The following is a 27,100-nucleotide window of genomic DNA, read 5'->3' on the forward strand; positions in this document are numbered from 1 at the left end:
GAAGATTTTAACAGAGAGGTAAAGTCAGGAAAGAATTAGAAATAAAAGGAAAAAAGAATTTCAGGAATGAAGACTATGCTAGAAGGAAGGAATGCAAGGACAAAATAATGCAACAGATATTAGTTTAAGAAAAACAAAGTATGGGTGGGAGGAAAGACATTCGTAATAGCCCCAAACTAGAAACAACCCAGATATCCATCGATTGGTGAAAAGATAGAGAAAATGTTATTAATAAAGGAACACTACTTGGCAATAAAAATAATTGAACTACTTATACATACAACAATATTAATCTCAAAAGCATTATGCTACATGAAATAAGTCGGATATAAGAAAGACTATGTGCTGTGGAGTTCAATTAGATGACATTCTAAAAGATGGCAAAACATAGGAACAAAATACAGATCAGTGGTTGCTAGAGATTGAATTATGTATATGTGGGTAAGGGGGAGGCAATTGACTGCAAAGGGGCATGAGATAACTTTTTGGGGCAATGAAAATGTTCTAGAGTTTGGTCATACAGCTGTTTATGAATATTTGCCAAACTATACTTATAAATGATGAACTCTATTGTATGTTTACTACAATTCAGTAAAAAAATAAATAATAAAGGGATAAGGTTTTGAGAAAAAGTGATAGATACAGACAGATTGCTAAGAGTATTCAACACATACATAATAGAAATCTCAAAGAAAGAAAACAAAAACAGTGGAATAGAACCAATATTAACATCTTCACTTCCCTGAAATAAGATTTAAATGATTTAAAATTTCTTATTGGAAAGGCATACATATAAGAAAAAAAATCTACCTAGAAAAGTAAAAATCACTGGATTACAAAAAGGAAAAAAAAAAAAAGAAGAAAAAATTCAGTGGTCATCCAGTCTTAACAGCCAAGTCATTAATAAGAAAAAAGAATATCAAATTGTCACCGAAATTTGTCAACTGATTTTTTTTTTTCAGAAGACAGTGGAGTAACGTATTTAGGATACTCAGGGATGGAAAATGGGAGCTAAGGGTTTAGCCACATAGAACTTCAGGTATAAAGGCCACAGACAAACTTGCAAGAAATAAGGACATATTTTTCCCATAAATAGTTACTGCGGAATCTCCTGGAGAATATATGTTAGGTAATCAGAATGATGGGAGAAATATCCATGTAAGGACTGCTGGCAGTGATTGGCTGCTCAAAAAACATAAAAATAAAGACAACCATACAACTCTTGACAAAACCATACAACACCATCAATAAATTAGTCTTGCCAAAAAAGAAAGGAAAAATACAACTTAATATAATCAAGCCTTTAGATCTAACTGTCAATTTCCAGGAGAATTGGACAGAGAGAGAGGGGAATGTGAATTAGTGAATTAGATAAATAATATCATGGGGCTGCAATCAGCAAACCCCAGGCTGTGTGAAACTCTACAGGACAAACAACCCTGTTTCTTCAACAAAATTTCCAGGATAGAGAGGGAGACAGAGAGAGAGGAAAGGTACAGATTAAAAGAGATATAAGAGATATATTAACTGGCCAAGATGGCTGAATAGCAACAGAAAGCAGGTGATTTCTCCATTTCCAACTGAGTTACCCATTTGATCTCACTGGGGCTGGTTAGGTAGTGGGTCCAACCCACAGAGGGTGAGCAGAAGCAGGGTGGGGCGTTGCTTCACCCGGGAAGTGCAAGGAGATGTGGGGACCTCCCTCCCCCAGCCAAGAGAAGCCTTGAGGGACTGTGCTACCTGTCCAGTTACTATGCTTTTCCCACGGTGTTTGTAATCTGCAGATCAGGAGATTCCCTCGAGTGCCCACATCACCAGGGCCCTGGGTTTCAAGCACAAAACTGGGCAGCTGTTTGGGCAGACACCAAGCTAGCTGCAGGAGTTTTTTTCATACCCCATGGGTGCCTGGAATGCCTGAGAGACAGAACAGCTCACTCCCCTGGAAAGGGGGTTGAAGCCAAGGAGCCAAGTGGTCTTGCTCAGCGGGCCCCACTCCCATGGAGCCCAGCAAGCTAAGAACCACTGGCTTGAAATTCTTGCTGCCAGCACAGCAGTCTGAGGTCAGTCTGGGACTACCAAGCTTAGTGTGGGGAGGGGCATCCACCATTACTGAGGCTTTAGTAGGCAGTTTTCCCCTGACAGTGCTAAGGAGGCTGGGAGGTCTGGACTGGGCGGAACTCACCACAGTGCAGCAAAGTAGCTGTGGCCAGACCTTTTCTCTAAATTCCTCCTCACTGGGCAGGGCATCTCTGAAGGTAACAGCCCCAGTCACGGGCTTACAGACAAAACCTCCATGTCCCTGGGACAGAGCACCTGGGGGAAGGGGCAGCTGTGGTTGCTGCTTCAGCAGGTTTAGTTGTTCCTGCCTGTTCTCTGAAATGAGCAGCTGATCCTGACAAGAGGGATTCTCCCAGCACAGCCCACCATCTCTGCTAAGGGACAGACTGCCTCCTCATGTTGGTCCCTGACCCCCGTGCCTCCTGATGGGGAGACACCTCCCAACAGGGGTCAAAGACACCTCATTCAGGAGAGCTCGGGCTAACATCAGGCCAGTGCCCCTCTGGGACGAAGCTTCCAGAGGAAGGAGCAGGCAGCAATCTTTGCTGTTCTGCAGTCTCCACTGTGATACACAGGTACACAGGGTCTGGAGTGGACCTCTAGCAAACTGTAGCAGACCTGCAGAAGAGGAGCCTGGCTGTTAGAAGAAAAACTAACAAACAGAAAGCAACAACAACATCAACATCAACATAAAGGACCCCCACACAAAAACTCCATCTAAAGGCCATCAGCCTCAAAGATCAAAGGTAGATAAATCCACAGAGATCAGGAAAAACCAGTGCAAAAACCCTGAAAATTCCAAAAACCAGAATGCCTCTTCTCCTCCAAATGATTGCAACTCCTCTTGAGCAAGGGCACAAAACTAAATGGAGAATGAGATTGACAAATTGACAGAAGTAGGCTTCAGAAGGTGGGTAATAATGAACTCCTCTGAGCTAAAGGAGGATGTTATAATGCAATGCAAGGAAGCTAAGAACCTTGAATAGAGGTTATATAAACTGCTAACTAGAATAACTACTTTAGAGAGGAACATAAATGACTTGATGGAGCTGAAAACACAGCATGAGAACTTCGTGAAGCATACACAAGTATCAATAGCCAAATCAATCAAGCAGAAGAAAGGATATCAGAGATTGAAGATCAACTTACTGAATAAGGTGTGAAGACAAGATTAGAGGAAAAAGAATGAAAAGGAATGAACAAAGCCTTCAAGAAATATGGGACTATGTGAAAAGACCAAACCTATGATTGATTGGTGTACCTGAAAGTGGCAGGGAGAATGGAACCAAGTTGGAAAACACACTTCAGGATATTATCCAGGAGAGCTTCCCCACCCTAGCAAGACAGGCCCACATTCAAATTCAGGAAATACAGAGAATACCACTAAGATACTCCTTGAGAAGAGCAACCCCAAGACACATAATCGTCAGATTTTCCAAGGTTGTAATGAAGGAAAAAATATTAAGGGTAGCCAGAGAGAAAGGTCAGGTTACCTACAAAGGGAAGCTCATCAGACTAACAGCAGATCCCTCTGCAGAAACCCTGTGAGCCAGAAGAGAGTGGGGGCCAATATTCAACATTCATAAAGAAAATTTTCAACCTAGAATTTCACACCCAGCCAAATTAAGCTTCATAAGCAAAGGAGAAATAAAATTCTTTATAGACAGCAAATGTGGAGGGATTTTGTCACCACAAGGCCTGCCTTATAAGAGCTCCTCAAGGAAGCACTGAATATGGAAAGGAAAAACCAGTACCAGCCACTGCAAAAACACACCAAAATATAAAGACCAATTACACTACGAAGAAACTGCATCAACTAATATGCAAAATAACCAGCTAGCGTCATGATGACAGGATCAAATTCACACATAACAATATTTACCTTAAATGTAAATGGGCTAAATGCCCCAATTAAAAGACACAGACTAACCAATTGGATAGAGCCAAGACCTATTGGTGTGCTGCATTCAAGAGACCCATCTCACGTGCAAAAACACACATAGGCTCAAAATAAAGGTATGGAGGAATATTTACCAAGCAAATGGAAAGCAAAAAAAAAAAAAAAAAAAAAAAAACCCGGGGTTGCAATCCTAATCTCTGATAAAACAGTCTTTAAGCCAACAAAGATTAAAAAAAAAAAAAAAGACAAAGAAAGGCATTACATAATGGTAAAGGGATCAATGCAAGAAGAAGAGGTAACTATGCTAAACATATATGCACCCAATACAGCAGCACCCAGATTTATAAAACAAGTTTTTAGAGACTGACAAAGAGACTTAGACTCCCACACAGTAATAGTGGGAGAGTTTAACACCTCACTGTCGATATTAAATGATCACCAAGACAGAAAATTAATAAGGATATTCAGGGCTTGAACTCAGCTCTGGACTAAGCAGACCTAACAGACATCCACAGAACTCTCCACCCCAAATCAACAGAATATACATTCTTCTCAGTGCCACATAGCACTTATTCTAAAATCAACCGCATAACTGGAAGTAAAACACTCCTCACCAAATGCAAAATAATGGAAATCATAACAAACAGTCTCTCAGACCACAGTGAAATCAAATTAGAGCTCAGGATTAAGAATCTCACTCAAAACTGCACAACTACGTCGAAACTGAACAACCTGCTCCTGAATGTTTACGGGGTAAAGAGTGAAATTAAGGCAGAAATAAATAAGTTCTTTGAAACCAATGAGAACAAAGAGACAGTGTACCAGAATCTCTGGGCCACATCTAAAGCAGTGTTTAGAGGGAAATTTATAGCACTAAATGCCCACAGGATAAGGCAGGAAAGATCTAAAATCAACACCCTAACATCACAATAAAAGAACTAGAGAAGCAAGAACAAATTCCAAACCTAGAAGAAGACAAGAAATAACTAAATCAGAGCAGAACTGAAGGAGATAGAGACACAAAAACCCTTCAAAAAATCGATGAACCCAGGAGCTGGTTTTTTGAAAACATTAACAAAATACATAGACTGCTAGCAAGACTAATAAAGAAGGAAACAGAGAAGAATCAAATAGACACAATAAAAAATGATAAAGGGGATATAACCACTGATCCCACAGAAATACAAACTACCATCAGAGAATACTATAAACACCTCAACACAAATGAACTAGAAGATCTAGAAGAAATGGATAAATTCCTGTACACATTCATCCTCTCAAGACTAAACGAGGAAGAAGTCAAATCCCTGAATAGACCAATAACAAGTTCTGAAATTGAGACAGTAATTAATAGCCTACCAACCAAAAAAAGCCCAGGACCAGATGGATACACAGCCGAATTCTACCAGCAGTACAAAGAGGAGCTGGTATCATTCCTTCTGAAACTATTCCAAACAATAGAAAAAGAGGGAATCCTCGCTAACTCATTTTATGAGGCCAGCATCATCCTGATACCAAAGCCTGGCAGGGACACAACAAAAAAAGAGAATTTCAGGCCAATAACCCTGATGAACATTGACGTGAAAATCCTCAATAAAAATACTGGCAAACTGAATCCAGTAGCACATCAAAAAGCTTATCCACCACAATCAAGTTGGCTTCATCCCTGGGATGCAAGGCTTGTTCAACATATGCAAATCAATAAATGTAATCCATCACATAAACAGATCCAATGACAAAAACCACATGATTATCTCAATAGATGCAGAAAAGGCCTTTGATAAAATTCAACATCCCTTCATGCTAAAAACTCTCAATAAACTAGGTATTGATGGAACATATCTCAAAATAATAAGAGCTATTTATGACAAACCCGTAACCAACATCATACTGAATGGGCAAAAGCTGGAAACATCCCATTTGAAAACCGGCACAAGACAAGGATGCCCTTTCTCACCACTCCTATTCAACATAGCACTGGAAGTTCTGGTCAGGGCAATCAGGCAAGAGAAAGAAATAAAGGGTATTCAATTAGGAAATGAGGAAGTCAAATTGTCTCTATTTGCAAATGACATGATTGTATATTTAGAAAACCCCATTGTCTCAGCGCAGAAACTCCTTAAGCTGTTAAGTAACTTCAGCAGACTCAGGATACAAAATCAATGTGCAAAATCACAAGCATTCCTATACATCAACAATAGACAAACAGTCAAATCACGAGTGAACTCCCATTCACAACTGCTACAAAGAGAATAAAATACCAAGAAATAAAACTTACAAGGGATGCGAAGGACCTCTTCAAGGAGAACTACAAACCACTGCTCAAGGAAACAAGATAGGACACAAACAAATGGAAAAACTTTCCATGCTCACGGATAGGAAGAATCAATATCATGAAAATGGCCATACTGCCCAAAGTAATTTAAATATTCAGTGCTATTCCCATCAAGCTACCATGTCTTTCTTTGCAGAATTAGAAAAAACTACTTTAAATTTCATAGGGAACCAAAAAAGAGCCCGCACAGCCAAGACAATTCCAAGCAAAAAGAACAAAGCTGTAGGCATGATGCTACCTGACTTCAAACTATACTACAAGGGTACAGTAACCAAAACAGCGTGGTACTGGTACCAAAACAGATATATAGACCAATGGAACAGAACAGAGACCTCAGAAATAACACCACACATCTACAACCAACTGATCTTCGACAAACCTGACAAAAACAAGCAATGGGGCAAGGATTCCCTATTTAATAAATAATGTTGGGAAAACTGGCTAGCCATATGTAGAAACCTGACACTGGACCCCTTCCTTACACCTCATACAAAAATTAACTCAAGATGGATTAAGATATAAATGTAAGACCTAAAACCATAAAAACCCTAGAAGAAAACCTAGGCATTCAGAACATAGGCTTGGGCAAAGACTTCATGACTAAAACACAAAAAGCAATTGCAACAAAAGCCAAAATTGACAAATGGGATCTAATCAAACTAAAGAGCTTCTGCACGCAAAAGAAATTATCATCAGCATGAACAGGCGACCTAAGAATGGGAGAAAATTTTTGCAATCTATCCATCTGACAAAGGGTTGATATCCAGAATCTACAGGGAACTTAAACAAATTTACAAGAAAAAAACAACCTCATCAAAATGTGGGAGAAGGATATGAACAGACACTTCTCAAAAGAAGACATTTATGCAGCCAACAAACATATGAAAAAAGCTCATCATCATTGGTCATTACAGAAATGCAAATCAAAACCGTAATGAGATACCACCTCACACCAGTTAGAATGGCGATCATTAAAAAGTCAGGAAACAACAGATGCTGGCGAGGCTGTGGAGAAATAGGAATGCTTTTATCCTGTTGGTGGGAGTGTAAATTATTTCAGCCATTGTGGAAGACAGTGTGGGGATTCCTCAAGGATCTAGAACCAGAAATACTATTTGACCCAACAGTCCCATTACTGGGTAAATACCCAAAGGATTATAAATCATTCTTGTATAGAGATGCATGCACATGTATGTTTACTGCAGCACTATTTACAATAGCAAAGACTTGGAACCAACCCAAATGCTCATCAGTGATAGGCTGGATAAAGAATATGTGGCACATGTACACCATGGAATACTATGCAGCCATAAAAAAGAATGAGTTCATGTCCTTTGCAGGGACATGGATGAAGCTGGAAGCCATCATTCTCAGCAAACTAACGCAGGAACAGAAAACCAAACACTGCATGTTCTCACACATAAGTGGGAGTTGAACAGTGAGAAACATGGACACAGGGAGGGAAACGTCACACACCAGAGCCTGTTGGGGGGTGGGGGACAAAGGGAGGGAGAGCATTAGGACCAATACCTAATGCATGCGGGGCTTAAAACCTAGATGACGGGTTGATACATGCAGCAAACCACCATGGCCCATGTATACCTATGTAACAAACCTGCACGTTCTGCACATGTATCCTAGAACTTAAAGTTCAAAAAAAAAAAAAAAGAGATATATTAACCAATCGATGTGTAGACCCTTTTTGGATCCTGATTCAAAATATAAGCTGTAAAAACAAGATTATATATATATATATATATTTTCTTTCTTAGCAAGACTAATTCATTAATATATATGTATATATATAAAAACAAAACAATTGAGGAAATATATACATATATTGGACATTTGATAATATAAAGGTATTAATTTTTATGGAAGTATAATAATGGTATTGTGGTTGTATTTGAAAAGAGTATACATGGACACAGATGAAAACAATAGACACCAGAGCCTACTTGAGGTGAAGAGTGGGAGGAGGGTACGGATGGAAAAACTACCTGTTGGTTACTCTGATCATTACCTCGGTGACGAGACAATTTTTTCACCAAACTCCTGTGACACACAATTTACCCATGTAACAAAACTGCACATGAACCCCCGAACCTAAAATAAAAGTTGGAAGGAAAAAAAAACAAAAACAAAAAGAAGAGTTCTTATCTTTTAGCAATATGTACTGAAATATTATTTAAACAGAATGTTAGGATGCTTAGGATTTGCTTCAAATTAATTTGAGGTTGGGGGAGTGGGTAGGAACAAACAAGATTGGACAACAGTTAATACCTGTTATTGCTGGGTGTTGGGTACATGGGAGTTCATTATCCTCTTCTTTCTGTTTTTGTATGTTTTAAAATTTCCATAATAAAAAGTTTTAAAAATGGAATGACTACCATTTATATAAAGATTTTCACAAACCTGTAGTGAAGCATTATTACTCTCTTGGACAAGAAACAGAATCTTAGAGAGGTGATGATTTGCCCCAGGACATGGAACTAAATTGTCAGAATCAGGAATCCAGTCTGGATCCTCGGACACTATCTTGTCTCTGCTTGTCTATAAACCATGCTGTCTTAAAAAGCAGGATGGTTCTTTTCTTTGGTTGTTTGGATAACTCTTCCCTGTCCTCTGATCTTCAGTGTGGAAGAGGTCAGAATCCCAAGAAGTTGGTCTGTAATTCCTGCAATATCACACATTTTACTTTTCAATGAGACCCCCAATATTTCCCTCAGCTTCCATTCAGGATGCACCTCTCTGTTTCTTTTCTTTTGCCATTACATGTTAAATTTTCTTGGTTTTATTTGCTTTTAGTTTCTATTTTCTTCTTTTTTCACCTTTCATCCCCTTCTTCTATATTCCCTTTTCTCCCTAGTCTTTGTCATCAAGGGACTTTTCAATTGCTGGTTACAGCCCTTCTGTTCTTGTATGTGTTATAGATATTGTTGCTTCTCTCTCATTTTCACCCTAATTGTCATCTCCCTTTCAAAGAGTCTGATAAACTAAACCAGCAAAGGGAGCTGTCACAAGGCAGCCCTAGGATAGGAGCCCAGACAGCAGCATTCAGAATCTAGAAAAACTTGTGATTTTTCTACTGAAAATGATTAAGAGAAACACTGGCACCTTGAACACAGTAGGTACTCTGTTAATATTTACTGATGACATTAATGAAGAGAAAATTAAATGACATATTCAGAAGAGCTAGTTCTTGCCAAAAATATTTCCTACTCTGTGCCTTTTGAGTTGTGGGACTTAGTTTTCATCCCTGGATGACTTGCTTTCTATATCTGTGAAGTGAATAGACCAAAGTCCTGTGAGACAATGCCTTGCTCTTTCATGTAGTAAAGGTTAGCCCACCTCTGTAAGTATAGCAGAGAAACACTAGATTGGGAGCTTCTTGAGGGCAGGGACTTTGTTGATTCAAGTTTAGATCTCTGTCTTTAGACATCCTGTAATCACAGGATGTTGCAGGATGTTACCTTTCTTGCATAGATCAAGTGTTACAAAGAGCCTGGCAATTTACACATCTGTGCTACCATGACTTAAGACAAAAGCGCAAATCAGGATTTTTGTTTTTGTTATGTTTTATTGTCCTCCCTCCTCCCATCTTTGTCCCTCCATTCTTTCTCCCAGGTACTCCATATCCTTATGTTGTTTTCGTCTCATCAAAGCCCTGACAGAAACACAACCACTTCCAAAGACTTGCCATTCCTCAAATGTCCTGCGTTCTAATTGGACTTGCCCCCCTTTGCTCTAACAATCTTATTCCACCTTCATCAAAATTATTATTTCTAGGATACTGATTTTAGAGCATCTGTTTTAAGTGATTATTAATAATATATGAATAATAGGTAGGTTTAGTCCAAATTAATCTCTGCCTAGTGGAATGTGTGAAAAACTGTCCTAAACTCTACAGTAATGAATGCTATTGGAAGAGGTATTAACTAGGCATTCCACTAGAAAATTTGCTGATCCCTCGTCTGTTTTGTCATACCTCCCTGACTCATGGGGTGTACTGTGAGAACTGTTGCAACTCTGGGGAAGTGTTTTCCTGTCCTGCCACTAGACTTTGTGCCAGGAAATAATTTCTAGGCATTGCCTGGTAAAGTTCATCAACTTGCTTTGAAGAAGTCCTGTGAAAGCAATAGAGGGTTTTGTGTTGCTTTTCAACAGTCTCCAACGGAGGAGATTTTCACAACCTCCTTGGTATGCCAGTGTATAACAAACTATGATCACTAGCATTCCCCCAAGTAATTTAAGAAGAATTAAAAACAAGATAGGCACACAAAAGTTTATACATTTAAAAAAAGTTAGATTATTTGACATATTAAACTACCAGTAGATTCCTAGCGTTTCTTGGTAGTAGAAAACTTTTGAAAACATGTCCAATAATCTGTATAATAAAGTCAAGACAGTTTTGATCTTGATCTGTAAGAAAGTGTAATAATAACTAAATCATTATTTGAATGCTGACAAGAAAAGTACTTGCTGTACATTTACTGTTTACTTGTATTGTAGCACCACCTACTGTTGATAAAGAAACAAGCTTTTATAGCTTTCCCATTTTTCTTTGCCTCGCTAGTTAAAAGAATGTCTTTTTTTTTTTGAGATCTGATATTTTTAATGTCACAAATTTTTTTTTTTTATTATTATACTTGTCTTGGCTCGTCAGCCAGACATGCTGCTCGGAGATGTTTCTAAAGTTATGATACAGAGATTGCATTATGTCTGTTTCCAAAATGAAAGATTATGCCTTCAGTTACCTAAAGATCAGAACTGATGCTTGACATGCATATATGACATATTTTATCGCTTTTCAAATCAGATGTTTATCTTTTTATTTTCTAATAAAATAGGCTGTAGATGTTGGGAAATTACTGATTTGCTTTAAGTTCAGTTGCTCTTCCAATGAACAAATATTAAGTGGTAAAACATCAAGTCTTCTGAATATAATTACTAATATAAAATGATGTCATATTAGATCCAGGGTTAGCACTTACATACCATCACTCCCTTTCCTCCACCCTCAACAGAATCTTCATCACTAAAAAACCCACAAAACATCAACTAGGCTATTTGATATTTAGAGCTTTACTACTCAAAGTGTGGTCTGTGGACTGGACGCTTGGGCCACACCTGGGAACTGTTAGAAATGCAGGATTCTTGTCTCCCTGCATTTTAACAAGATCCCCAGGTGATTCAGATGCACATTAAGATTTGAGAAGCAATGTTTCAGGCATTTCTTGTATCCCACCCTACCCATCCCTGCCAGAAGACTGAACAGCAGTCAAACCAAGAGTAAGGTCTTTCATTACAAGTTTGAATTTACAGTATCTTATTCTCATAAAAAGTTAGATGATATTCTCTGACTCATGGCTTATTGAATGTAAATTGTATCACTGCTGTCGTTAGGGCTCACATCAGCAACTGAACAAAGAAGGCACAGTCCTTTCCCACTGGATCTGTCAGCTTCATCTCTGGGGAAAGTAATCAGGGAGCCATTTAAAGCAGCTGAGAGGAAAACTGCCAGCTCTGAAATTTTAGGGCATGCAAATGCCAACAAAATATTTAAGTTCGGTATGATAGAATCGTAGTTTGAACAGACAATAGAGGTAGGCTTAAATAATTCCTGACAATTGAAGTAGAAAGCAATACTTAGAGCTAGAATTATGAATAAATTGGAAAATTTAAAGCTTGATTTTTCTTAAGTCTAAATTTTCTTTTACCCATCTCTTTCTTCTATTTAAAAATCTAGTTAGTTTACTACAAGAGCAGTAACAGCCATTTGATTTTTGGTTAATGTTGAATTAGTTCATAAGTTTAACAAATGAATGTCATTCACAAATTTAGTTAATTTTCCTAAGACCTTTAATCCATCTAATAATCTCAAATACTTTAGATACATGAGGATAGACTTAGAAACCTAACTAGGCCAAATCTTTCAGTGAACTTAGGCCAGTTTTGAAAATGTAATAAACCAAATTTATAACTATGATAAACTAGGTTCTTTCATATTACAAAATTAATCAAATTCTTACCTTTATTAAAATCATGGCCGATATCCATTCAACATTTCAAATTAAAACTTCAAGGCAGTTTTGTATTTTGGATTCTTTAAAAACGTTTCAATAATTTTAAATAATAAACACCAAGATTGTCTCCATAATCATAAAATGTACTGCCAAAGTTAGCACTAAGTACCATGGGTTAGGCTTATGTCATTATCTCTGTATTTCTACATTTTCCTAGTGTTTCATAGTCACACAGCTAAAGATAGTAGAAGTCATCTGATCCATGACCAGTTCTGTAATGCGTTTATGGACGGTGGTAGTAATAAGAAATTGTGGACCAAAAGCAAGATCATAGTGCTACTTCCTAAACTGTGAATTAGCAGGCTGAACCTTTTAATAGTTTAAGTCTTTCTTGTCAGTGGGGGAATCCAAGTCCATGGCGAGAGCTGAGACTTAGTTTCATAGGCCATTGTCTTTTCTCCTAAGTGTATTATACATTTACTCAATTTTCATTGTAAACCCTTTCAACATTCTCTCACCCAATTTGGGTAGGTGGAATCCTGTACCCCCCACCAGGGCTATAGCTAATATCTTCATTGCACAGTTATTGTTCATTGAGACATGTACCTCCATCCATGGTATAAACTGTTTTTATTATCTGTCTCACCTCCATTTTAACAGTAATTCTGTTGACATTGCTTCTAGACTGGAGTTTGGCTAATAAGACACTGGACACTGTGTTATCTGTGCTAAGGAAGCACAGATAACGCAGCGTGTTAAGCATTCTGGGTCAGGATTTTTGTGCTGGCACAATTGTGAGTAAACCAAGAAAAATAGTCCCTATGAGATTTCTTTCAGACTTCAGCACACAGAAACCTAGTGGATTGTTCCTTAAGATAAAAGAGAGGTTTGAGAATTTACTTTTTGTCATAGTTTGGGTTCCCAGGAATCGGATTCTGAGGCTCTGAGATCTACATGCTGGAGGTTTATTGGGGTGAGTTCTTGGGAAAAGCACCTCTGAGAGGTGAGGGAAGTAAATCAACCAGAGAGAGGAGTTGAACTGCAGCTGTGACAGAGATGGCAGTATTCCTACCCAGAACTCTAAAGTGGCTCCCCTTTTCCCCCAGGCTTTATACCTCCTCCCATTTAGCAGACATGGGATGTGGAAAGCTCCCAGGGAAGGGCATGACCTTGGGTGAGGCAGCTGAGGGCAAGTCCCAGGGAGGGTCTCAGCTGAGAGCAATAAGCAGTCAACACTGCTTAGCAGGTGGGGTAAATAAGTGTCTTGATCATAAGGTGGGGTAGGAGGAGGGCAAGTATAAATGCTGTCCACCGCATTCAATAGAAGTGTTTTCTCTATTATTACTAAAGAATGGCTTGACCCAGAAAAGATCATGGTCTTTAGCCACAGAACTTAATTCTAGGAGAGGCGATATTACAGCAGACTGATCCCTGTAATGCAAATGGCAATGCCCCTCTTTGCTGAGAGGCATTGTGGAGAATGCATGAAAACATGGCAGTGATGTTGGCAGGGAGATGGCAACGAGGTTCTCTGCACCAACTGTCTCCTGCAGCTGGGAAAAGACACACAGCCTGGCTGCCAACTGTTGGGCTCATTGTGCTCTGGCTGAATTTAGTTCCCTCTTATGTCAGCTTGCAATTCTATGTTGAAGAAAATCGGTCTGGTCTGCCACCATCACCATCTCTTAGCAACTAAGAGAGATTGAAACAACAGCTGGGTAATTTGATATTGGGAACTTAAAGGTCGTGAAAATAGAATATAATGGCTGTTTGTATTAAAGGAAAAAAAAAGAGAAAATGATGTAATCCTAATGCTTAGAAATGTTTGGAATGCCACATGGGTTACAAAGAGTGAAAATCTAGTTTAAACTGGTTGGATTCTTTCTCTCTCAGAATGATTAAAGTTGAGCCCAGAAGCTCACCCAAACACACATATTTGCCTAAATATAAATCCCTGTGGAATGTTGGAGCTATAATGTGAAAAACAGTTTCTGTGTTTTTGTATTTTCTCTAAGACTGACCTACAGCTTTCTTATCACAAGTTTTGAAGCAATACTTATAACATAGATGATAATTTAGAGTTATTTTTTACTTTGCTTTTTGTGGGCAATGGGGATGGGGACTGCAGTGAAGATGGGAGAGAATGAGGTGTGGCCCTCAGACATAGTGCTGTGCAGGAAGCCTACTACTTCAGAGGCTGCCCACAGCCTCACATACAACAGGTAATAATAGAATTACATGTTTGAAAACTAGAAAATGAGAAGTAGAAGCCAGATGAAATTGTTAAAACAAGTTTTTCTTTTTTCCCTAGGGCCAGTGAGGAGACCATCTGTTTTTCAAATTAGAAAAGCCAGAAAATATAATGTTTGCTCTCAGAATGAGTCAAATGTCATACTCTAATGAAAATTCCAAAGCAGAAAGAGAGAAAGGAAGAAGAGCTTGAAATGCCAAATTAGTGGGGTGAGGTGCTTGCTGCTTGCATTCCTGCAGATCCAAGCATTTTGCAACTCTAGTAAACCTGCCAGGACAAGGTTCATTTGAAGGGGTGTGGATTACCGGGAGGTGCGGGGGGACTGACATTCTAGTGCTTTAGATGGTAGGTAACTGCCTGGTCTTGTTTCTCAGAATAACTTGTTCATCCACCACATATGTGGCTTTCATCCCAGCACATTGGGCAGGACACCACTGTTTTCTTCGTTTGGTTAATAGTTACACTTCCTTGACACCTCATACAGCTGGGTCATGGATCTGCTGCTGTTCTCAATGTGAGCATCACTGTCTTTTTTTCTTTTTCTTTTTCTTTTTTTGGGACAGGATCTCTGTCACCCAGGCTGGAGTGCGGTGGCACGATCTCAGCTCACTGCAGCCTCCACCTCCTGGGTTCAAGCGATTCTCCTGCCTCAGCCTCTCAAGTAGCTGGGATTACAGGCATGCACCACCGTGCCTGGCTAATTTTTGTATTTTTGGTAGAAACGGGGTTTCACTATGTTGGCCAGGCTGGTCTCAAACTCCTGATCTCAGGTGATCCACCCGCCTCGGCCTCCCAAAGTGCTGGGATTACAGGTGTGAGCCACGGTGCCCAGCCCACTGTCTTTTTTCATCAATGCTAAGAGAATTTAATTCTTTCCACATGAAGCGATTCTACTTCCTCAACACGTGTTTCGTTTTGTGACACAACAACTTGGAGGAGGTGAAATTCATTAACAAGGAATAAATATCTTCTCTTTATGGAGCCACTTCCTTAACCCCTCAAATCTTCCTAGACCACTTCCATCCAACGTAGAATAAGTGAACCATATGAAATTGCTGTTTTTGTGGGTCAAAGGCAATTGAATGGTAGTCTCACATGGTTCAACATCTGTATACAAGCAAGTTCTCTGATGAAAAAGCTGAGTGACTGCGAGTACCATTCTTAGAATTCTTTAGGAGAGAAGAAAGATTTCAAGGTAAACAATCTGACAAACTTATTTGTAATCAAACTAAATTCCAGGTGGGGCTGGCTTATAGTTCACACACATTAAAGAAATAGGGATTGAATCTTGCAGGAAACTAGCACTTTTCCCCAAGGGGGATGAGGATTTAAGTTTCCTTCATGGAATATGTTTCCAGTTCATTTGGTCCTGCATTTATTTTAGAAATTGTTTGATATTTGCACTTCACTCATTTTCCAAAATTTGTTCTGATTCCAGATTTCTCTGTTAAATTTCTATAAATTTGTTTATTTGCTATTTGCTTTGGAGAATAGGAATTATATGAATTTCTTGGCAAAACGGATGAAAATTCTAACCTACCATTCATTTGGGAGAGGTGTACATATGTTCACTTCCACAGCTGTAGCACATTTGTTCTCAGTTTTGTACTTTTGAGACACAGGAAGTATATTTCTTTAAATGTTCTCTCTGGAAATACATACGTAGAGCTACAGCCTGATGAACATTCCTTATACAAAGGAATGTACATCTCAGTGTAGTACTCGTCTATAATTTACTTTCAATGGTTTATGGATGTATAATAATCACAGTGAACCTTTGTTCAGCGCTTACTATATGTCAGATACTTTGCATGCACTATCATGTTTTGTCCTTATCCTGTGATGTGGGTCCTAGTCCTGACACACAACACAGGAAACTGAGGCACAGAGGTTAAGCTTCTCTTCCAAAGACCCACAGTTGTTATTATAATAATAATGCTAAGGCTGATGTTCAGGGCATCTCTAAAGCCTTCTGCTCTCTTATTTACAACACCATTCTACCTTCACATTGGCTACAGCTGATTCAGGCATCCCCTCCATTAATCCTTTTTAGTGAATGTTAGTTTTTGTTGTGGGTTCTTATTTTAAAGGTGATATTTTGGGCAAGATGTCTTGAAGGACTGATGGCAGGTGCATATTGACAATTCTATGCAGAGCAAAGCTTCCAAAAAGGCATGCTATGAATTCTGTCAATGTGGAAGATCGAGCAAAACCAGCTTCTCTTTGCAGCACTGGCATGCAACCAACCTGCTCACCTGCATCCTTACATCTTAATCTGATGAGCAGAGTCTGCAGACAGAAATCATTTTCAGCTCTTTTTTTTTTTTTTTTTTGAGACGGAGTCTCGCTGTGTCACCCAGGCTGGAGTGCAGTGGCTTATCTCTGCTCACTGCAAGCTCCGTCTCCTGGGTTCATGCCATTCTCCTGCCACAGCCTCCCAAGTAGCTGGGACTACAGGCGCCCGCCACCACGCCCGGCTAATTTTTTTGTATTTTTTTTTTAGTAGAGAAGGGGTTTCACCATGTTAGCCAGGATGGTCTCGATCTCCTGACCTCATGATCCGCCCGCCTCGGCCTCCCAAAGTGCTGGGATTACAGGCGTGAGCCACTGCGCCTGGCCTTCAGCTCTTTTAACTACTCATAAAAATGTTTTAAGTACATTTTTAACTAGCAGTACTTGTATAATATTATAATTATTATCTATTTGGTACCTTTAAATTTTCATGTTTATATGCAGAAATAAACAATATATTGTTCTTAAACATATTTTTGTGATATATTTTCTAGGACCTTATATTTATCAATTCAACAAATATTTAATGCCTACCATATGTCAAACTATTCTTGGCATAGCAGTAAACACAAGTGACAAAAATTCTGACCTCATGCTCTTAAAGTTTTTATAATGATTAGTTTTAAAAATCTTTATCCATAGAAGGCTAGGCAAGGAGGATGGATCTATATAGAAGCACTTCCTTACTGAGTTGAGAGGCTTGGGGAGAAATGCATAGTGCCTCCTTATTTGGAAGCCCCCAAAGTCATCTCAGACCCTACTTGGACATAAGTAAACAGCGAAGTAGGATCTGGAAGAGGTTTAAGTTGAACTTTCCTTGTGTGCATTATCCTCAAAGATATATTGCAATAAGATTTTTGTATAGAATGCAAGTCTCCTACTGGATTTTAGCCCTGTTTCCCATCGAATTTTATCTAGTCATATTTGACTTGTGTCAGATAAAGATTAAAACCTTCAGACACCGGGCCGCAAGTTGAAGATCTTTCTGAATCACAGTGCTAAAATAATAGGGAGGGATTTTCCGTAAGTGTTACCAAACTAAACTGGGATCCCCTTGCCTGGTGTAGCAAAGCCAAATACTGACATAGGGATTGCTGCAAGAGAAAGTGAAGCATTTATAGCAGGATGCCAAGCAAGGAGAATCAGCAGCTCACACTTAAGACCCAGCCTCCACAGTGGCTTACAAGTAAGGCCTTTTAAAGGTGAGGAGGCAGAGGTTATAGGCAAAGTCATCAATCAATACACAGAGGTTATACATTGGTTTGGCCTAAAGAGGTGGGATATCTTAAAGCGGGGTCTTACAAGTCATAGATAGATTCAAAGGTTTCCTGATTTGCAATTGGTTAAGGAGATGAAGCTTTATCTAAAAATTTGTGATCAGCAGAAAAGAAAGTTAGCTCTGGCTCATGGGTATGACCTCTTCCAGGCTCCTCAGGAAGAAATTTAGAACAAAGAACAGCAGTCAGAGTTCAGTCCTCAGTTCCCTTTTATCTGAGGTCTACATGCCAGTGGATCCATTTGGAAGGGGTCTGGGTTTCTGAAAAACAACTCACATTAAGATGTTATCTTTAATTTCTACAGGGAACATCTCATGACCCTAACTTCCTTGGCTATTGTTTTAAGCTACTGCTACCTTCTTGCTTACCAAGTTGCTCATTTACTTCTCAGGGCTAGCTAGGTGCCTGGAATTTCCATTGAAGGAGCTCCAGATCTTCCTTTATTTCCATGCCTGGCGGTGTTGAAGGGGTGTGGGAGAGAGGATAGCAGGCCCTTAAGAGGGGTCCTGGGTCCATCTTATACATAGAAGCAACTGAAGAGGAAAGCTGAGATTGGGGTTCGCAGTTCTCCCAAGCAGTGGCTGAGGCTGGCAGGTTGGAGCTCAACTCTTAGGCAACTTGGCTGTTATATGTATGTGAATGTCTGTCCTAACAAATGAATTTAGTGCTGCAATTTCAAGACGGTGTTGTATCACCGACTTGCAAAAATGCCTTCTGGCATATTTATTACTTTGGTTCCAAAAATCATATTTAGCCAGATCTTTTCAGTAATGAAGCATTTTTCTTTATAGCAATCTTGCTACAGCTGAGAGGCAATTTAGAATGGAGGTTAAGAGAGTTGATTCTTGGGGCCCAACTGTCTGGGTTCAGATTCCAGCTCCATTTCTTACAGGGTTACATAAAGCAGCTCACTGTGCCTCATTTTCTTCTTCTGTAAAATGATGGTCATGATAATAGCATCTACCTCATGGAGGTGCAATGAGCCTTAAGTTAGATAGTATTTGTGAAATTGCTTAAAATGATGCCTGGCCATAGTGAGCACTTTATAAATATAGCTAGAATGATGAGAGAGTCTTAGATTCTCCTGTCAACAGGCATTGCATGGCTGGGGTTGAGCCTCCCTAGTGAATCTTTCACATAGCTTGACAGACATAGTGGGCATCAGCCCTAAATGCCAAAAGCAAACTTGAAGATTCAGAGCAAAGGCATGTGCTGAGCATTTGCCTTGTATGGAGTTTTGGGTGCTCTTATTCAGTGATTAAGAGCCAACATTAGTGAATGTTGTTGCCAAGAAGTCACACACACACACACGTACGTGTGCCCACAAGCCAAGTCCCTGTGTGATTGCCATCAGATGTGTCAGGAAGACATCATGCCCAGATCTGTGAAACTATGGAATAGATGTCAGGGAAATGCGGGTCCATCTGCTAAACAGATGACTGAATGATTAAGTGAATAGTGAAAAGGAGAATTCCAAGCTCCAACTGGAGTCAAGATGTGAAGCAGCAGCAGTAACACTAACAGCCTGTGGGTGACAAGGATCAAAGATGGGCTAAATGTCTTCCGAGGGAAAACCAAATGTGGTAAAAGACACATCAGAGGAGACCTCTACCATAAAAAAAACAAAAATTTAATTCGATGCCAGAAAGAGATAATCAGCAAGGAGAAAACTAGATTTAGCCTGAAATATAGGTCTGCTCAAGGCTCGTCAGGGGAAAGAAGGTGAACATTCAGGTTGATTTTATAGAGAGCTCCTAGAACACATAAACTACATTGTGATGACTAAATATAAAGAAAGATGATTATCACTCTTTTAGGCAGGAAATGGGGATGGATAGAGACTGGCTGTGCAGATGGAGGAAGAGAAAATGGTTAGTGTGAGATAGGAAATGGAAGAGAAGCATAAACAGGATCCCTTGGTATAATGGCCAAGAATTCCTGATTTCTACTGTGTCCCCCCTTTGACTCAGAATAAAATTAGTATCCACAAAGAAAGAGATAGTCTTAAATTAGAGGGAGCTGAAGAAAATATTTTGGGGGGAGAGGAGATGAGAATTTGACATGTTAAAGGACTCCTAGGAATATAGGGAGAATGCTTTCTGAAAAGGAATTCCATTGACTCAGGGTTTAGACTTAGGAACATGTGACTTATACCAAGTAGACATCGACTCACTTTGATATTTTCAGTATTATATACAATTGCTTTTAAAAATTACTTCTATTGTTTTCCTTGATTACATGACTGATACATATTCTTATAAAAATGAGGAGAAAATAAAAATAATCAGTGGACCACATATGACTTACACCAAGTAAACATCGACTCCTCACTTTGATTGATTTTCAGTGTTGTATACAATTGCTTTTAAAAATTACTTCTACTGTTTTCTTGATTGTGTGATTAATACATATTCTTATAAAAATGAGAAGAAAATAAAAAATAATCAGTGGACCACTAGAGATATCCACTATTACCATTTTTGATATATTTACTTTTTCTAATTATTTACATGTAATAAAAAATTGGACTCAGATTCTATAACAATTTTATACATTGTTTCTTTAACTTAATATTATTTCCTGAATAGTTTTTTGTGTGTCATATAGATGGGCCTATATATTTATTTTTCTCACAACTTTTATGCTCAGAAAATCTCTACTAAATTAATTACTAAGGGGTTTTGCTATGGTATGAATGTTTGTGTCCCCCTACAAATTTATATGTTGAAATCCTAACCTCCAAGGAGATATATTAGAAGGTGGGGCCTTTGGGAGGTAGTCACATCATGAGGGTGGAGCCCTTATAAGGCCTGAGAGAGACCCCTTGCCTTTCTGTCACATGAGGACACAAGAAGACACTATCTGTGAATCAGAAAGAGGACCCTTGCCACACACTGAATCTACTGGCACCTTGATCTGGGACTTCCCAGCCTCCAGAACTGTGACAAATACATTTGTATTGTTTATAATCTACCCAGTTTATGGTATTTTATTATAGTTGTCCAGATGGGCTAAGGCAGATTACAAATCTTTACCTTCCTCATACTGGTGTGTGATGGTGTAGGCCCTGTGGGGCTGATTTAGGATTTCCTGGGTGCCTTGAGTTGTGAGAGGAGAAAACAGTATCTCTGCAAATGTAAGGGAATTGGACCTTGGAGTTGGGGTTTGTGTCTCTTACTAGTCTGTCTTTGAGGTATTTTGCTAAACTTCTATTTCCTAATTCAAACAAATGATAGAGAGCTGCTTGACTGAGAGAAAAATACTAACTCCTATATCAGATATTTAGAAGAAGCAGTTGAACAGTTCTTTAGAGTTGGGTGAAAAAAAATCATAGCCCCAACTAAAAATGCTGGGGTCACAATTGAAGAGGAAAAAAATTCACAATTGACCTGAATAGTAAATTCTCTAATGTGGGATCTTGCATTAATGAAAGATCTGGGTTAAGCCCTCAAGTCTAATGATTGAAACAATAGTACAGTATGCAGGATCCAAAGGACTTTCTTCTTAAAAAGTTGTGCCGTAGTCATGATGAAGGTGTCCATTCATGGTCAGTTATGTGCTCTGATGTTGAATTTCTTACTGTAATTTGTAGATATTTGTGTAAAATGACTCATGCAACTATTCTGAGGGAAGGAAGCAGTTTGGTGATTTAGTATAAACCAGAATGGAGCCAGAATATTTTTAGAACCCAAAGTTTTTTAAAAATCTGTTTTCATTTATCATTTATTTGAATTTAGGTCTCACTATGGTAGGTGAGGTTTGGTATGTAAAGTGATGCAAGACAAACTCTCAGGAGCCAGACTTCAATATACTTTTATGCCCAGGTCTGATTCTTCTTATTCTCCTTGGGCCTTCATTTCTGCCCACTCAAGCCTGAAGATCCTACTGGTCCAGGAAAATGTCTAGTTGGTTTTCTTGTTGCTTCAACACACAATTCATATTTACAGATTAATATATGGTAAAGACACTTTAAAAATATGAAATACATATTTCTTTCTGATGTATAAGATTGTTACAAAAAACATCAAGCAACAGATAAGTGAGAATTCTCTTTTCATGTTCTGTAGAGATAACTCCTATTGACAACTTGGTCTGTATTCTTCTAGACTTTTAGTCCATATTTCATATTTATATAATTTTTAAAACATTTATTACTATTATGTAGCCAACTCTCTTACTTTGTATATTTTAGGATCTATTTCTGCATCCATATATAAAGATCTACTTTATCTGTTCAGTATTGATTGATCTATAACCCGTGATTAGATAATCCATGCAAAGAAATAAAATTCCAAGATGGTAAACACTGAAAGGACACTTCTCCCTACCCCTATTCTCCTGCCTCACAGTTCGCAGATCCAATGATCCAGAGGCAATCATTGCTATCAATTTCATATACATCCTTCCAGAGCAAATACAAATGGCATCATTCCTGTATTCCTGTATTAGTTTGGTCTTATGCTGCTAATAAAGACATACCCGGGACTGGGTAATTTATAAAGAAAAAGAGGTTTAATGGACTCACGGTTCTACATGGCTGGGGAGGCCTCACATTCATGACAGAAGGCAAAGGAGAAGCAAAGGCACACCTTACTTGGTGGCAGGCAGGAAAACATGTGCAGGGGAATTGCCCTTTTATAAAACCGTCAGATCTTATGAGACTTATTCATTATCACGGGAACAACAGGGGAAAAACTGCCCCCATGATTCAATTACCTCCCACCGGGTCCCTCCCATGACATGTGGGGATTATGGGAGCTACAATTCAACATGAGATTTCGGTGGGGACACAGCAAAACCATATAAATTTCCTTCTGTAAACAAGCAAGCTGTAACATCTCCCAGCCTGAAAGAGGAGGAACTTTCTTTGACTTGTGTATTCCTTTCCAGCTACCACCCAATTTCTTTGCTCCTTTTAGAGCAGTAATCCTTGAAAAATTATCTCCAATTACTGTTTCCACTTCCTCTTTTCTCACTGTGATCTCAGTTTTCATCCCATACTTAAGGACTCATTGTTATGGGAGCTATACAATTCTGGCTCCTTTGTTCCATCTTGGAACAAATTGAAGGGCCTTCTTGGTTTCAAAGTTCCTTATGTGGGTGGACTGGCCCATTAGTTGAGACTGTATTATAGCACAACTTTCCTCAGCCCTACTTCCTTCCTTCCCCTTGCTTAGGGGGTCATCCCAAGATAACTCCTTAATAAACTTCCTGCACGCTAATCTCCATATTTGAATCTCCTTCTCAGGAAGACAACCTGTGACATTATCTGGTGGTGTCCTATCTGAGAATAAAAGCCTGAAGTTCTTGCAATGGCTCTGTGTGAACTGCCCCTCTCTTCCCACTGCCAACATTTCTGGCTACATCTCCTATACTCTCCCTTTTGTTCAGTTTTGTTTAGCCATTCTCTAAATATATTAAGACTAGTCATACTTTTGAGCTTTTGCACTTGCTCTTCTGACTTCCTGGGATATACTTCCCCCAGATACCCTCCTGTCTCAACCTTCATTTCCTTTAGGTCTCAATTCAAATGTCACTTGTCAGAGATTATTTCCTGACCACTCTATATAAAGCAGCATCCTCACTACTGTTCTGCTTTTCTTTTCCTTTAGAGCAATCAACACTGTTGGATACATACTATATTTTATTTACTTACTGTCTTTTCCTGTTTTGTTCTCTGCTGTATTCCAAGGGCCTGGAAAAGTGCTTGGCACAGAAAATATGTTCAAGTAATATTTATGAGTGAATGAGTTATCTTGTTTTTTAATGGAAATATATCTTCTACATAAATGTATTACAGACTTTTAATATAACAATACAACTCAGAAAACGTCCCAAATAAGAATACTATGAGCTGTAAACAACTGCATAGTTTTCTACCGTATGTAAAAACACAATTTAATTAGTCCTCTATTAATGGAGGTTTTATGTTATTTCCAGTAATGTGGTGAATAACTTTGTGATTTCTTCTGTAATGTGACTATATCTGTGAGAAATTCTAGAATTGTATTTTGCTGGGTCAAAGGGTGTGTGTGTGTGTCTGTGTGTGTGTGTGTGTATATATATATATATATATATATGTATCTTGCATTGGTAATTTTGTTAGATATAACCAAATTGTTTTCTGTAATCTTACACTAATTTACATTCTTCCCAGCAAGATATCAGCATGTGTCTTTCAGCACATCCTCACCAATATTTTAATGTTGCTAATCTGATAGGTAAAACATGGTATTTCAGTGTGATTTAATTTTTAATTCTGTTATTGAAAGTGAGGTTGAAAATATTTTCATATATTTAAAAGGCAGTTGTATTCTCTTTTGTATAATCTTTATTATAATACTTTTTCTTTATGAAGGTTTTGTGAACTTTGTCCAGTCTTTTTGATTTGTAGAAAATAGTGTGCATATTTGCAAATACTTTTCTTGGTTTGCTGTTTATCTTTTAACTTTGTTTATAGCATTTTCTATTTCAAGTAGGAATGTAAAACAGTTTTATAGTGAAGTTTGATTTTTTTTCTCTTATAGGTTTTGTGTCTTTTTTAAAAAAATTATTTATTTATTTTTTATGAGATGGAGTTTCGCTCTTTTTGCCCAGGCTGGAGCACAATGGCATGATCTCGGCTCACTGCAACCTCCGCCTCCCCGGTTCAAGCAATTCTCCTGCCTCAGCCTCCTGAGTAGCTGGGATTACAGGCATATGCCACCACTCCCAGCTAATTTTGTATTTTTAGTGGAGACGGGGTTTCTCCATGTTGGTCAGGCTGGTCTTGAACTCCCAACCTCAGGTGATCTGCATGCCTCAGCCTCCCAAAGTTCTGGGATTACAGGTGTGAGCCACTGTGCCCCCCAGATTTATTTATTGTACTTTAAGTTCTGGGATACATATGCAGAACGTGCAGGTTTGTTACATAGTATACATGGGCTATGGTGGTGGCTGCACCCATCAACCTGTCGTCTACATTAGGTATTTCTCCTAATGCTGTCCCTCACCTTGCCCCCCATCCCCTGACAGACCCTGGTGTGTATGTTCCCCTCCCTGTGTCCATATGTTCTCATTGTTCAACTCCCACTTATAAGTGAGAACATGTGGTGTTTGGTTTTCTGTTCCTGTGTTAGTTTGCTGAGAATGATGGTTTCCAGCATTATCCATGTCCCTGCAAGGGATAGGTGTTGGTATAGAATAGGGTCCCCTCCCCTGGCTGGGTCGAAGAAGGTGGTGTTGAGGTTATGGTCTGTTAACAGCATGGTGATGCCAGCAGCTAGGACTGGGAGGGATAGGAGAAGTAAGACTGCTGTGATTAGGACGGATCAGACGAAAAGGGGTGTTTGGTATTGGGTTATGGCAGGGGGTTTTATATTAATGATTGTTGTAATGAAGTTAATGGCTCCTAGGATAGAGGAGATGCCTGCTAGATGCAAGGAGAAGATGGTTAGATCTACGGAAGCTCCAGGGTGGGAGTAGTTCCCTGCTAAGGGAGGGTAGACTGTCCAACCTGTTCCGGCGCCGGCTTCCACTATGGCAGATGCAAGCAGAAGTAGGAGAGAAGGGGGTAGGAGTCAGAAGCTTATGTTGTTTATGCGGGGGAATGCCATATCGGGGGCACCGATTTTTAGGGGAACTAGTCAGTTGCCAAAGCCTCCGATTATGATAGGTATCACTATGAAGAAGATTATTACAAATGCATGGGCTGTGACGATGACATTGTAGATGTGGTCGTTACCTAGAAGGTTGCCTGGTTGGCCTAGCTCAGCCCAAATAAGGAGACTTAGAGCTGTGCCCAGGACTCCAGCTCATGCGCCGAATAGTAGGTACAGTGTTCCAATGTCTTTGTGGTTTGTAGAGAACAATCAACGGTCGGCGAACATCAGTGGGATAAGGTAAAATGGCTGAGTGAAGCATTGGACTGTAAATCTAAAGACAGGGGCTAAGCCTCTTTTTACCAGCTCTGAGGTGATTTTCATATTGAATTGCAAATTCGAAGAAGCAGCTTCAAACCTGGCGGGGCTTCTCCCGCCTTTTTTTCCTGCGGCGGGAGAAGTAGATTGAAGCGTTGATTAGGGTGTTTAGCTGTTAACTAAGTGTTTATGGGTTTAAGTCCAATTGATCTAGTAAGGGCTTAGCTTAATTAAAGTGGCTGATTTGCGTTCAGTTGATGCAGAGTGGGGTTTTGCAGTCCTTAGCTGCAAATGAGTCCTTAGCAAGGGACTCATTCTTTTTTATGGCTGCATAATATTCCATGATGTATATGTGCCACATATTCTTTATCCAGTCTATCATTGATGGGCATTTGAGTTGGTTCCAAGTCTTTGCTATTGTGAATAGTGCTGCAATAAACATATGTATGCATGTGTCTTTATAGTAGAATGATTTATAATCGTTTGAGTATACACCCAGTAATGGGACTGCTGGGTCAAATAGTATTTCTGGTTCTAGATCCTTGAGGAATCGCCACACTGTCTTCCACAATGGTTGAAATAATTTACACTCCCACCAACAGTGTAAAAGCATTCCTATTTCTCCATAGCCTCACCAGCATCTGTTGTTTCCTGACTTTTTAATGATTGCCATTCTAACTGGTGTGAGATGGTATCTCATTGTGGTTTTGATTTGCATTTCTCTAATGACCAGTGATGATGAGCTTTTTTTCATACGTGTGTTGGCTGCATAAATGTCTTCTTTTGAGAAGTGTCTGTTCATACCCTTCGCCCACCTTTTAATGGGGTTGTTTGTTTTTTTTCTTGTAAATTTGTTTAAGTTCCTTGTAGATTCTGGATATTAGCCCTTTGTCAGATGGATAGATTGCAAAATTTTTCTCCCATTCTGTAGGTTGCCTGTTCACTCTGATGATAATTCCTTTGGCTGTGCAGAAGCTCTTTAGTTTGATTAGATCCCATTTGTCAATTTTGGCTTTTGTTGCAATAGCTTTTGGTGTTTTAGTCATGAAGTCTTTGCCCATGC

General features: G+C 39.1%; 1 protein-coding gene and 1 pseudogene across 11 annotated transcripts in view, besides 1 other annotated feature; one reads left to right on the plus strand and one right to left on the minus strand.

Annotated features, from left to right (window-relative positions):
- AKAP6 (A-kinase anchoring protein 6) overlaps positions 1-27,100 on the plus strand; it is a 508,387-nt gene that overhangs the window by 129,496 nt on the left and 351,791 nt on the right. The window lies entirely within an intron of this gene.
- Positions 25,300-26,329, minus strand: MTCO1P2 (MT-CO1 pseudogene 2; annotated as a pseudogene).
- Positions 25,990-26,284: a silencer, noted in NCBI's record as "tiled region #11725; HepG2 Repressive DNase matched - State 23:Low". NCBI's record gives its function as "represses a minimal TATA promoter and a strong SV40 promoter by Sharpr-MPRA in HepG2 cells {active_cell/tissue: HepG2}" and the evidence as "EXISTENCE:reporter gene assay evidence [ECO:0000049][PMID:27701403]".

Source organism: Homo sapiens, chromosome 14 (genome assembly GCF_000001405.40).
Source record: "Homo sapiens chromosome 14, GRCh38.p14 Primary Assembly".
NCBI classification, from domain to species: domain Eukaryota; kingdom Metazoa; phylum Chordata; class Mammalia; order Primates; family Hominidae; genus Homo; species Homo sapiens.